Source organism: Homo sapiens, chromosome 5 (assembly GCF_000001405.40).
Source record: "Homo sapiens chromosome 5, GRCh38.p14 Primary Assembly".
Taxonomy (NCBI): domain Eukaryota; kingdom Metazoa; phylum Chordata; class Mammalia; order Primates; family Hominidae; genus Homo; species Homo sapiens.
This window is the reverse complement of record NC_000005.10, coordinates 70,739,971-70,753,761: the sequence shown is the minus strand read 5'-3', so window position 1 is coordinate 70,753,761 and position 13,791 is coordinate 70,739,971. Positions and strand designations below refer to the sequence as shown.

Below are 13,791 nucleotides of genomic sequence, written 5' to 3'. Positions count from 1 at the left end.
CCACAGGAACATGCCACCACATAAGGCTAACTTAAAGAACATTTTTTTAGATGGGATCTCACTATGTTGCCCAGGCTGATCTTGAGCTCTTTGCCCCAAGCAATCCTCCCACCTTGGCCTCCCAAAGTGCAGGGATTATAGGTGTGAGCCACTATGCCAGGCCTCTCTCATGACTTTAAACTTGAACATGCTTTTGTGCTGTGGCCGAGTTTAGGATCCCAACCAGCCTGTGATTACTGTGGTCACCACACAGATTCCCTCTTGTTCCATCTTTTATATTCCATCTTCTCACTCTCATAACTGTGTGGATAGGAAAACAATTATCCATACAGGTATGATATTGGCAGAGAAAATCACAAAATGTTTTAATGAGCAAACACTTTGGGGATGGTAATAATCTTTCTACCACCTTCATTGTCTTGTTTAAGTATCTCTACATTCTTCTTTAAAAATTAGGAATATATCTTTCTTGCTCTTTCGTTGTTGTTGAACACCAGAAGGGGATATTCCTTAATTCTCTCTCCATAGCTAAGGACAGTACAGCACAATATTCCATTCAGCAGGTGAAGTCAGTATGAATGAATGCATTTCAATCAGCAAATTGCTGGTTGTGTTGCAACTCCTAGTTATGATGTTTTGTGTACTTTGAAGGGCTCCCATTAATTAAGGTATTTCTTATAAGCATTCAGAAAGTTTCTTTTCTTGGCATGCGACTTGAAAATTTGTCCTGATATTTTCCCTGTGACAATGTTTTGTGAATTGTAACTCAGCCACTTAAGTGGCTCCTCATAATAAAGCCACATGGTATCCATGTACACATATTTAACAAATCAAAGAAGTGGTTCTCAACCTAATCTCTAGAGGAGGTCCTTCTTGTTCACTTTCAATAACTATGTTGAAGAATAGATTCTAAAAAGCTATCACCAAATTTTCGAATATGTTTTGAAATTTGTGTCCACAAAATCTATAAATCAATAAATGTATAGAATAGAGCATAATAATCCAATTAACAAATTTAAGATGTCATCTAAGCAGGAATGAATGCAATAAATAGGCCTTCTTACTTCAAAATCAACTGCAGAGGTAATGCATTGCCACTAGACTTGTGTGCTGTGTTGGTAATAAATTAACAAAAACTTTGGGGATAAGAAAAATCTGCAAATAAAATGGTGTGTCATTTGTGAAATATAATCACAAAAATGTTCAGATTGTTATAATTAACAGAAAAACTATTGTTTTTATTATATCCAGTGTTTAACAGACACTATTCATGTATACATACAACATTCTTATAATAACTCTTGTGTCCATGTAAATAGCAGTCTTGCCAAAAAGAATTGATTATCATGTAGTAGTTTGTAAGTATTTTCATGCATAGGCTGCAACCCTTTAGAGTGCTATTCTAATAAATTATTAATATTAACTTGATGAACACAATTCTAAGACATTTCATTTGAGGATATGTTTATTAACTATTAGGTTGGTACAAAAGGCATTGCGTTTTTTGCCATTACTTTCAATAAAAAATAGAACCAGCATTTAGAAATCTACTTTCAGAAACTTAATAAAATGAGAATTTGTCCTCTTTTACATATAGGAAGCCTGCATAATAAGCATTCTGTTGCTAGTACATAAGCTTCCCATTTTCATCAGGAAACTATACACTTACATTTCACTTTTACTAACTTCAATGCATGACTTCTACCTTCAAGGTGATTTCATGCTTCTAGCCACCATGTCTGTACTCCAGGACAGCAGCACAAAGTGTAGAAAAATAAAAAAGACATACCTCCCTAATGAGTCAACTGCACTTAAGGAGCCATCCCAGAAGTTTCACACGGCTTATTTGAATACAGCTATATCCAGATGCAAGGAATGCTGGGAAATGTGGTATTGTGCGCAGCTAAAGTTGGGATTATGTTAGTGAAAATGAGACCACGAACATTGGAAGGTTAAAAGCAATCTCTCATGACATATACAATTACAGAAATTAAATTAAATCTTTAAGCAATGTGATAAACCTATGGAATGTTAACAGGCAAAAATAGCAACATTAAAAATTACAGTGAGGGAATAAGGTATGATTCGTTTGTAGATGGTTTGTGTGTCATTAATCTAGGCAAAAAGTCATAAACTCCTCTAACAGTGACCACATGTATAAAAGAAATAATAATACACACTATGGCTAACAACATTCCATTTTGGCCTATTTACTGTTGTTAAGTCTCTATGGTTAGCATCAGAAATGTACAGTTTTGATAGCCTATGACCTCAACATGTTCAGTTTGATAGTAGAAAGGACAACATAAAGACAAACCAATCAACAAATAAGAATAAAAACTGTTAAAAAAAGGACAATATTATCATAAGAACATAAGGATGTGATAATGTATTTGACATATCGTTTATTTATTGTTTTATAGTTGGATAATACATATAAATTTACTGCTCCTTCAATGTTAGAATCAATAGAATCATAGCAGAAGTAATTAAGCAGATAAAGATCAAAACGTCACCTTTATTACTTACTGTTTGAAAAATAGTCTAAGGCTGGTTTTACAGGGTTGCTCCTATCCATCACCTGATGTGAAGTTTCTTAGGAAGCTTCAGGACTACACCAAAGAAGCAGAACCTGCTCTTTCACTCTGTTGCATTGTGTGGAGTGCAGGCCATCATGACTGCTCTCTACAAGAAAAAGAAAGGAAATAATTAAGAAACGCACAAAAGTTTGTGAATTGAGAATCCCAAAATAGGTATGAAATTGGTTAGCTTTCTAAATTCACCAATCTCATAACTAACACCTGTCCCCATGCAGTGAATGAGTAAAGGATGGACAGACTCCATAATGATTATTCTAGGGAAAGCCTTCTGAGTAGAAAGAGGAGAGTTTTGCAAACAGTTTTGTAGAGTTTACTCTTGTTTATGCACTGATAATAAATAAGAGTTCCTAAAATTCTCTCTAGAACTCTAGGTAAATGAGATATTTCACTGCTCATGCTGTGTGACCTTCATGTCCCATCTGCCTAGACTGTAAATATGCTTTCTGAAGTTTAAAAGAATTAGTATACTATGCTTACATTAAGCAAAAAAGTACCCTTATTATGCAGGATCAAGTAACACTCTAAAGATTCATGTTTATGAAAAAACACTGATGATTCTATTTTATTATGTGTCTTCTAAAGAGAAAAATACTTGTGCTCTGCAGCATAATTTTACAATGTGCTATTCTAAATACTTTCATTTAAACAAGACCATTATGAAAATGTTTTGCACACAGAAATATATTTTGAATACTTTTTTAAAAAGATCACAAAGTATATGGTCTCTGTACGTGTTCAATTATTTTAATGCTTTCACTATAACAGGAATTCTTAAAGAGGATATGTACTTGCATAATGCTGATAATTCTTTCTCATTTCTGTTTGTGCTTTGGCTGTTGTTACAACCACTGAAAGTAGTAATTACATGAGTGTATTATCCATGATTATCTTTAGATATATGTGCATTTTCTTTAATTAAACTATAAACTCTAAATGAAAAATAAAAAAGAAGTCACCTCTTGTCTCTTTGTACAATATTAAAATTTTTTTCTTGTATCCAGAGTTTCCCAAATGCCTGTTGCAAAATTTTACTTAGGGAGTAGAAAGTGGAGAATCAATATGGTAAAAAAAACTGTGTTACAGGGAAGGAGACACAGGGTAAGCATTTTCCTTATCTTCTCTCCTGTATCTACGTGATGCACAAGCATAAATGATAGCAGTCACATGAACGAGTACTTTTCAAGAACGTAGAATATGGTGATGGAAAAAAAAAACCGCTTTGAAACATCGAATAATATAAAAGCCAGAACTACTACAACTATTTTTTACATCCATAGAAGGTAAACTATTTTTAGATATAAAATTCCTTCTGACGGTAGTCCTGATCATTTAACCAATATTTTGATAAATCAAAGAAGGGAAAAATGGACATTCAGTCCAAAGATGGGCATGTATTCCCATGCCCAGTCAGGCAAAACTTGTGGATGTTCTTTAAAATAACAATTCATTCAACAAATAATTTTTAAATGGCTACTGAATACCTGGAAAGGTTCTAGACACAGGGGCTATAGTAAGAAACAAGAAGGAACTAATTGACAAGAATGTGCTCACCGACAATGAAACATCTCCTCATGGAGCTTGAGTTCTGTTTGAAAAGACAGAGAACAAAAAAATATTATTGCACAGAGTGTTAGTTATGTGTGAATTAAAAGACTGGTCAGTACTTGAAGGAGAAGGAGTGACAACAAATCTCACTTCCAGTTCTATTTACCTGAACAGATTAATTCTATTTTGTTTCAATGCAACAGTAGTCCTACGGTTAACAAGATGCACTACACAAAGCAAACAACTTATAAAACGCATTTTTTCCTTATATTGCAAATCAATTTTAAGTGGATCTACAAATATACAATAAATAATATAAATTACGGATCGTTTGTTTCTAAGGTAATAAGTACATTTGTTAATTTCACATAAATAATTTCAGAAGGAGAGCAAATGTAAAAATGTGTTTTAGACAGTGGAGATGCCATTTTATTGTAAGACTATTTATACTCAAAGGACAAAGTAATCAGCTTTCTATGTCAATGATCGTCCTTCTCTATTTCACCCAGTTCCAGACAAACCCAAGTCTTCCAAGTCTCTTCATATATCTGATCCAATAAAATCTATAATGAGTTCAGTTAGCATACACACACACACACACACACCACACACACACAAGCACACAAACACACACACATGACTGCATTGAAATACTTGCTCTAGGGAAGGAACATAGTGTATATGCAACTTGTGTACTTTCTAAGTATGGGAAGACTAATCCTTTAACAACTGCATTTACTTTCTTTCACTTCTATCGTTGCTATCTACTCCTCAGAAATCTACTTAAACAACCAATAAATATATATGATGTTGTTATGAGAGTTTTGGAAATAATTCCTAAAAATTTGCATGGTTGCCTCTTTATATTTGGCAGCTTCTATCACCCATGGGAACAACCCCTACAGAATGATCAGAATATAAAGCATGTGAGCCCTGGGTTTCTCAGGCACTGGAAGGACCTGTCAGAATCCTCTCAGGTGGGTCAAAATGGCCAGGCTTTATAACCTCATCTCCATTCGTGTTTGCATGTCCAGTGCTCCAGGATGCCCTAACATTGAGCCAGACAATGGTTACAGCTGAGGCAAACTTTGAAGGAGCTGAGAGCTGAAGGCTGCTTTGTAATATTGCTCCTAGCAGCCAAGGGGGAAAGAAATCTTTTCTTGAAGAGCGATCTGTGTCCATAGCAAAATGTTTTTTTCTTAGCTCTTGTAAAATCGAAATTGTTTGCTTTTGAATTTTTTTAAATGATTCCTTTAAGATTCTTAATACCAAGATATCACAAGGTCAAGGAATTTTATAAAGAAGTATTTCTATTTATGTAATTTCCTAAATTTATCTATACACAAATCAGCACTAAAACATGCCTTTGATACTAACAACTTGATCGGTTTGTGAACCAAATCTGTCATGCAAATACATACGGCTGTTTTTAGATAAATTCTAAAGGTATTACCAAATCATTTAATTTTATTGTGTATCTCAATATTCTGGTTGATGTATAAGTTTAAATAGAACAAACTATTTGACATTGAAATGTTCTTTATCAAAGGAGAAGGAATACAATTTTAAAGCCACAACGAGTGACACATAGTTCTGAATGATTTATTGGCTGTCTGCCATTCTGAAATGGCTGCCAGTCAATGTTACATGTGACATCTTTCAGATAGTGTGAACTCTTTTATGCAAGCACCTTTCACTATAAAATTACAGCTGGAGATCATGAAGAGAAAAGTGTGGTGTTTATCTTAATGGGCTGAAAGACCTATTTCAACAGTTACAGTAATTCAGAAAAATAGTCTGAAGTCTAGTATTTCAATAATGTTATTTTCATAGATTTTAATCTCTAAAGACAATGCTTCACTTTTGTAGAAAATGACTTTTCTAATCATCCTGGATTTCAAAATTCTTTCCATTACTTAATATTTAAATCACTGGCAGAACTTGGCATGAGGACTAGAGAGCTGTCACCAAGCAGCCAGTCATTTTTCTTGGCTTCCCATATGCCATGCCCAGCAATAGAGCATTTCTTAGTAGCTGAGGAATAGCAGCAGTGCTAAACACAGAGATGACATTAACAGGAATGAGAGGGTCCAAGCTGTTTTCCTAGACTAATTCTCATTCAGCCTGAATTCAAAGCATTTTCCTATCATTATCATAGATATTTCGCTTGTGGTATTATCTATCTTTTGGCAATGTTGATTTTTTTCTGATTATCCAAATAAGTAATGTTAATGGAAAAAATCAGATATTAGGGGAAAAAAAACTCTAGAAATAAATGTTAACCCAAGACAATAACAATTCAATTAATTTATATGATACCTTAGGGATTGTGTCAATTATTTTTTAAATGAAATTCAAAAAATTCAACACCTGTGTTTTCTCCTACGATTACAAATTCAACTAGGGCACAATTGTAAATGGTTGTATTTGGTTGAATTTTTAGATTGTTTATAAGTTTTACTCTTGCAGACAATAATAATGGAGTTTCTTTGAAAATAAATTTAGTTGTTCTATAACCAAGGCATAAATATTCAATTCAATAAAATTAGCAAAAATATTAAATGAAAAGTATATTATATATAAAATGCATAAATAAAATATCCTGCACTGATCATTTTATGTCTATGGTTACCCTATTGATTCTGTGCACATTTGCATATGGGTATATATGCAATTTTATACAATGAAGTATTAATAGTGTACATAAATTTAGTAATTATTTTACCCCTTAAAAGTATATGCAATGAGTGTCACTTATATATAAATTCTGTTAACGTGGAAGAAGAATGTTAGTCAAAAAAACTACGAATTTAACAATTTTCTGGTTAATTCAAAGGGCTTTCCAAAAATGTCTTTTAAAATTCAATTTCATTTATTTTCTCATAGCAGAATATGAGAATGAATCTTTTTTGCTGCAAATTGGCTAGCAATAAATTTTTATTTTTATTATTTTAATTCTGTGAATTTCGGGAATGGAGTCTCATTCAGTATAAATATTATAATACTAATGAGATTGACTCCCTCCTTCTTATTAACAGTGTGCATTTTTACCCTCCGTGATTCAGTGCATGGTGTAGTGCTATAATTAAAAATGAACATTTTTTTTAAATTTTATTATTATTATATTTCAAGTTTTAGGGTACATGTGCACAATGTGCAGGTTAGTTACATATGTATACATGTGCCATGCTGGTGTGCTGCACCCATTAACTCGTCATTTAGCATTAGATATATCTCCTAATGCTTTCCCTCCCCCCTTCCCCCACCCCACAACAGTCCCCAGCGTGTGGTGTTCCCCTTCCTGTGTCCATGTGTTCTCATTGTTCAATTCCCACCTATGAGTGAGAACATGCGGTCTTAGGGTTTTTGTCCTTGCGATAGTTTACTGAGAATGATGATTTCCAATTTCATCCATGTCCCTACAAAGGACATGAACTCATCATTTTTTATGGCTGCACAGTATTCCATGGTGCATATGTGCCACATTTTCTTAATCCAGTCTATCATTGTTGGACATTTGGGTCGGTTCCAAGTCTTTGCTATTGTGAATAGTGCCGCAATAAACATACGTGTGCATGTGTCTTTATAGCAGCATGATTTATAGTCCTTTGGGTATATACCCAGTAATGGGATGGCTGGGTCAAATGGTATTTCTAGTTCTAGATCCCTGAGGAATCGCCACACTGACTTCCACAATGGTTGAACTAGTTTACAGTCCCACCAACAGTGGAAAAGTGTTCCTATTTCTCCACATCTTCTGCAGCACCTGTTGTTTCCTGACGTTTTAATGATTGCCATTCTAACTGGTGTGAGATGGTATCTCACTGTGGTTTTGATTTGTCCTCTCTCACCACTCCTATTCAACATAGTGTTGGAAGTTCTGGCCAGGGCAATTAGGCAGGAGAAGGAAAGAAAGGGTATTCAATTAGGAAAAGAGGAAGTCAAATTGTCCCTGTTTGCAGATGACACGATTGTATATCTAGAAAACCCCATTGTCTCAGCCCAAAATCTCCTTAAGCTGATGAGCAACTTCAGCAAAGTCTCAGGTTACAAAATCAATGTACAAAAATCACACGCATTTGTATACACCAATAACAGACAGTCAGAGAGCCAAATCATGAGTGAACTCCCATTCACAATTGCTTCAAAGAGAATAAAATACCTAGGAATCCAACTTACAAGGGATGGGAAGGACCTCTTCAAGAAGAACTACAAACCACTGCTCAATGAAATAAAAGAGGATACAAAGAAATAGAAGAACATTCCATGCTCATGGGTAGGAAGAATCAATATCGTGAAAATGGCCATACTGCCCAAGGTAATTTATAGATTCAATGCCATCCCCATCAAGCTACCAATGACTTTCTTTACAGAATTGGAAATAACTACTTTAAAGTTCGTATGGAACCAAAAAAGAGCCCGCGTTGCCAAGTCAATCCTAAGCCAAACGAACAAAGCTGGAGGCATCACGCTACCTGACTTCAAACTATACTACAAGGCTACAGTAACCAAAACAGCACGGTACTGGTACCAAAACAGAGATATAGATCAATGGAACAGAACAGAGCCCTCAGAAATAACGCCGCATATCTACAACTATCTCATCTTTGACAAACCTGAGAAAAATAAGCAATGGGGAAAGGATTCCCTATTTAATAAATGGTGCTGGGAAAACTGGCTAGCCATATGGAGAAAGCTGAAACTGGATCCCTTCCTTACACCTTATACAAAAATTAATTCAAGATGGATTAAAGACTTAAACGTTAGACCTAAAACCATAAAAACCCTAGAAGAAAACCTACGCATTACCATTCAGGACACAGGCGTGGGCAAGGACTTCATGTCTAAAACACCAAAAGCAATGGCAACAAAAGCCAAAATTGACAAATGGGATCTAATTAAACTAAAGAGCTTCTGCACAGCAAAAGAAACTACCATCACAGTGAACAGGCAGCCTACAGAATGGGAGAAAATTTTCACAATCTACTCATCTGACAAAGGGCTAATATCCAGAATCTACAATGAACTCAAACAAATTTACAAGAAAAAAACAAACAACCCCATCAAAAAGTGGGCGAAGGACATGAACAGACACTTCTCAAAAGAAGATATTTATGCAGCCAAAAAACACATGAAGAAATGCTCACCATCACTGGCCATCAGAGAAAAACGAACATTTCAAAGATGTGCTTCCAAATGCCAAATCATCACTAAAAAGCTCTGTGGCATAGAGGAAATTTCACAACCTTTTAGTGCCTCAATTTTGTGGAAGAATGGTTAGGAGGCTATTGCAATAACAAAAGAAAATTTGAATAGCTGTATCCAACATGAAAAGATTGCTAGTAGAATTAAATGAGTTACTATAGGTAAAACAATCAGGGAAGTAATTAAAGAGAATCTGCACTAACATTGTTTTATTAATTTAAAATATCTGTACACAATCCTTTGACTCATTTGGAATTAGTTTTAGTGTATTTTAGAAAATAAGGTTTATTTTTTATTTTCTCCCAAAACAATTCTTCAAGACAACTTTTCGAACAGTAAATTCCTTCTTTGTTTATAATATGTATTTTAATAAAGTCACTTATCTTCATGATTTCTAGGACATCGGTTCTATCTAATCTATTGTTCAGCATTCGTCTGAGTATTTTCTGAGCAGCAATTAACCCCTCTGTACCTCTGAGTGCCCACATTTCCTTGATCCATTTCACCTTGCTGATCAATCCTTCTTTACTCATAGTCTAAATTTTTTTTTTAGAACTTCTGAGAGTGCCTCAAACCTTGGTCTTGGGTCTTCCTTCAATCTTATTTGTCTTTCCACCTGATCTTAATTATTTACATCACATTATACCCTATCTTTATGGTGACAAATCTCAAAATTATCTCTCTGACCTAAACTTATCATTAAAGATTTGGTTGCAACTTATTAAGAAGTCAGGTTCAATGTAATACATGCATTGTTGATTTAATATGCTCATCAAAATACTTAAAATTTTATTTGAATGCAAAAAAATAAAGCTTTTAATTTTATCTCCTATTTAATAATTTTGACAAAAACATTATACCAATCATTACTAATTATTGCTGGCTTTTAAAATATTATCTGATTAAATATTTTTGACTTGGAAAAATGGTAACAAATGCTTCTCTCTTTCTTGTCCCCTTGAACCATACTTGATATATTGCTTTTTCCAAATCCGGGCCACAAGTTCAGAATATAGCCTGTTAAAATATCTTCTATGTATAAACTATCTTTAAATTTTCTTGAGAGAATACTGAGTAACCAAAAGCATTGCTCCTTCACCCTACAAAAGAGAGAAAAATTAAAAAATCACATTAATTTGTAATTTTAAATGGTAATTAAAGCTATTGTGAGGGCTCTTTTATCGGCCAAACTTGTGAACAAAAAACAGCTCAAATTTATGTGTAAATAAAATATATTGAGATGAAGCCTTTCATTCAATGTGTGATTTTCAGTTCAAAAAAACACACTGATGTTCAAGAACAAAGACTGGTACAATAACTATCTACAAAATGCTTTTGTTACTAGATTTTAATTCCTTCATCAAACAGACACAGTCAAAGTTGATAGTGTCACTAGATCTAGAGGTCTATCAATATCCTTCCCACCATTTAATATGTTCTTAATCTCAGGGAAATTCTAAATCATATTCTTCTAAATTGTACAGTTGACTCCTGAAAAACACAAGGTTTAGGGCCATCAAACCTCCCTAACCCCTCCCCACCACCCCAGCACAGTCAAAAATTCACATATAACTTTGGACTCCCCAAAACTAAACTAACAGCCTACTGTTGACTGGACAATCCTTAACACATATTTCATACGCTGTATGTATTTTACACCGTAGTTTTACAATGAAGCTAGTTACAGAAAAGAAAGTGTTATTAAGAAAATTATAGGGAAGAAAAAATACGTTTACAGTACTACAGTATATTTATTTCTCTCATAAGTTTACAATCCCGTGTTTACAAGATGGATCCTTCTTCTGAAATGGCAGCACACACAGCTGCAGGCCTCAATCTAGGGTACCTATCAAGCAATTCATTGTTTTCCTGTAATGTCAGGACCCTTCTCTGTTTCCTGGAAGAACTTTCAGCATCACTAGCAGCACTTTTTATAGGTCTGAAGGTGTTATTCAAGGTTTATGGTATTGCACTAGACATCATGAATAATACAGGAGAAACATGAGAGAACACTTTTTACTGTGTTAATTTACTGGAGAGACAAGCTACTCACAAGAAGATGATTAGCATTATGTGGCATTTTAAGTGAATACTCACAACACTTGAGTTCACTGCAAGAACAACAGGTGGAGGCTAGGAAATTATCCCAGTAGTACAGTATGTACTACAGTTAATTTTGTGCAGTTATGATTTACTTTTGTATATTTTTGTTTTACTTTTCTCTAAACTTCAATTGGCTGCATGTATGCTCTGTGTTTGCCTACGTCTTGATAAATTTTAACTTTTTATAATAGACGCATATATATCTCATTGTATTAAATGATCACTAGTATCTACATATGATTTATGCATTCATGACATCGTTTTCTTAGTTTTTTAATATTTCTTGTGTAGATGGGTCACCTGTTATCTTTTTCAATTTTTCATAAATCTCCAAAAATTTTCTAATATATTTATAGGAAAAAATCTACATATGAGCAGACCTGCACAGTTCAAACCTGTGTTGTTGAGGAGTCAACTATATATTATAATTTAAGAGAGGATTCAACTCTTTCATTCTACTGGCAATGGGTTAACATAAACTTTAGTCAGAACTGCTGAGCTTTTCTGGCACAATGAGGACAAATTGACCAATGTATTTAACCAATAGCTGGAGGAAAATTTTGCTAAAATTGGTAAGTATATCTTTATATAACTATATCCTTACAACTTGTCTCAACCTTCGTCAGATTAATCCTAACAAAACTGTAAAATGTCTCAGTAAAAATCTAAATGAATTTTTCATAACAAGTGCTGGCAATAGATTTTAAATATGTTCTGATCATTATTTGTCTCTTGTTGGCATGGAGAAAATCCTTTTTTTTTTTTTCAGCCTGGGGAATCCCAAACTATATCTCTAGTAACAAGGAAACCATTTTACCGGAATTTTTATTAACATGGAAAAGTTCTGTCAATTAATCAGACTTCACTGTCCATATCACTTTCAACCTTTTGGGAAGGTAGAAAGATGGAATTCTGAAACTAAAGTTGGTAAAGTTCACAGACATCGTCAAACTTGCATGGTCTAAGGCATTTCTTCTTTCTGTGGTTCATGAGTTAGTAACAGCTAAACCAAGTGTCTAGGAATATTAGCTCTGATTCTAGAAATCTACACTTATTTAACTAAATGCTGTAAGGACTCAGGAAATCCATTCTTTCAACAAAAGTTACTGAAGACTTTCCCCATTAGTATCCTAAACAATGTCTGCAAAATTGGTTTTCATACCTGGATACCTTGTCTTCTAAGAGACACGGCAGGGAAAGATCATAGGAAAAAAGTCACTATCAGGCACAGCTAACAACTAGCAAACCCATAGTCTTTAAAAGACTGATCCTTTGATTCCTATCTCTCAAGTAAAGAGGTTTAGGTCATCTTCATATTACAGGAAAGTATCCCTACCAAAAACTTCTAACTAATGACTCTTAGGATTCTTCCAAAAGCAAATAGTCTTTGGGAGAAGACAGCTTCCATCAAATGCCTTTGGATCAAGTGAATCACTATATGAGATATCGGTATCTGCAAACCAAGATCCACAAAAAAAGATCCATTGTTTGTCATATTTAATCTGTATATCTTGAGTTTTCATTTTCCTAGTTAACTTTATCTTTTTATGCTTAAGGTTACATTTAATTACTTTACCTATAAAGCTACTATTCCTAATTCCTCTATGCCGTCCTTAGTCACTCTCTAGAAGAGTCCGGAAGCTGGCCGTAATTTGTTCACAATTTGGCTAAACATGCAGTTGAATCAGTGCTAAGCTGCACACATTTTCCTTAGGATGCCAATTAGTGTTTTTTTTTTTTAACATCGATTCCTAAATATGAAACATCTGGGTTTATCAATAATTGGACTCACTATTTATTGTTATTTTATCTGACAAACAGCAGAGTATTAGATAAATAGAAATCTTAAATCCTAACATGCTGCACCCAGGAAAGAAAGCTTATGCCTACAGCAGAACAGCACTTAGGGATCTTTAATAGAATGCAACTTCTGTCACTAAACCTTTAGAAAGAAATGTCTTAAAAAGAAGAGAACAAATGGCACATACTTAATTCATTTCTCACATTTACATATCATAAAAAATTCTTATTACATATTCAAGCTCCTATCACATCTACCTCTTCCTCTATGTGATAAGGTCTTCATTTTATATCCCCAAAAGTGATTAATAGCAGAATGGAGCTGAAAGCAATCAATAAACTCAATCAACCTTAATGACTGCTACTGGATTTGTGGTACCAGAACCTATTGATTATTACAGCAATCTTGACATAAACTAACATACTGATGTGGTAGTCAGAATAATGGCTCTTCAGAGATGATGCGGTCCTAATCCAGATAATTTATAAATTTGTTAGCTTACCTGGCAGGACAGACTTTGCAAATGCAATTAGAGTT

The 13,791-nt window shown here is 34.1% G+C and overlaps 1 pseudogene across 1 annotated transcript in view; it reads right to left on the bottom strand.

Annotated features, from left to right (window-relative positions):
- Window positions 1–13,791, bottom strand: part of GUSBP16 (GUSB pseudogene 16) — a 153,001-nt pseudogene that overhangs the window by 119,028 nt on the left and 20,182 nt on the right. The window contains exons 2-3 of the transcript NR_146391.1: window positions 4,152–4,185; window positions 2,530–2,685 (exon numbers count right to left, since the gene is read on the bottom strand). The product of NR_146391.1 is annotated as a GUSB pseudogene 16 (transcript). The remainder of the gene's footprint in view (window positions 1–2,529; window positions 2,686–4,151; window positions 4,186–13,791) is intronic.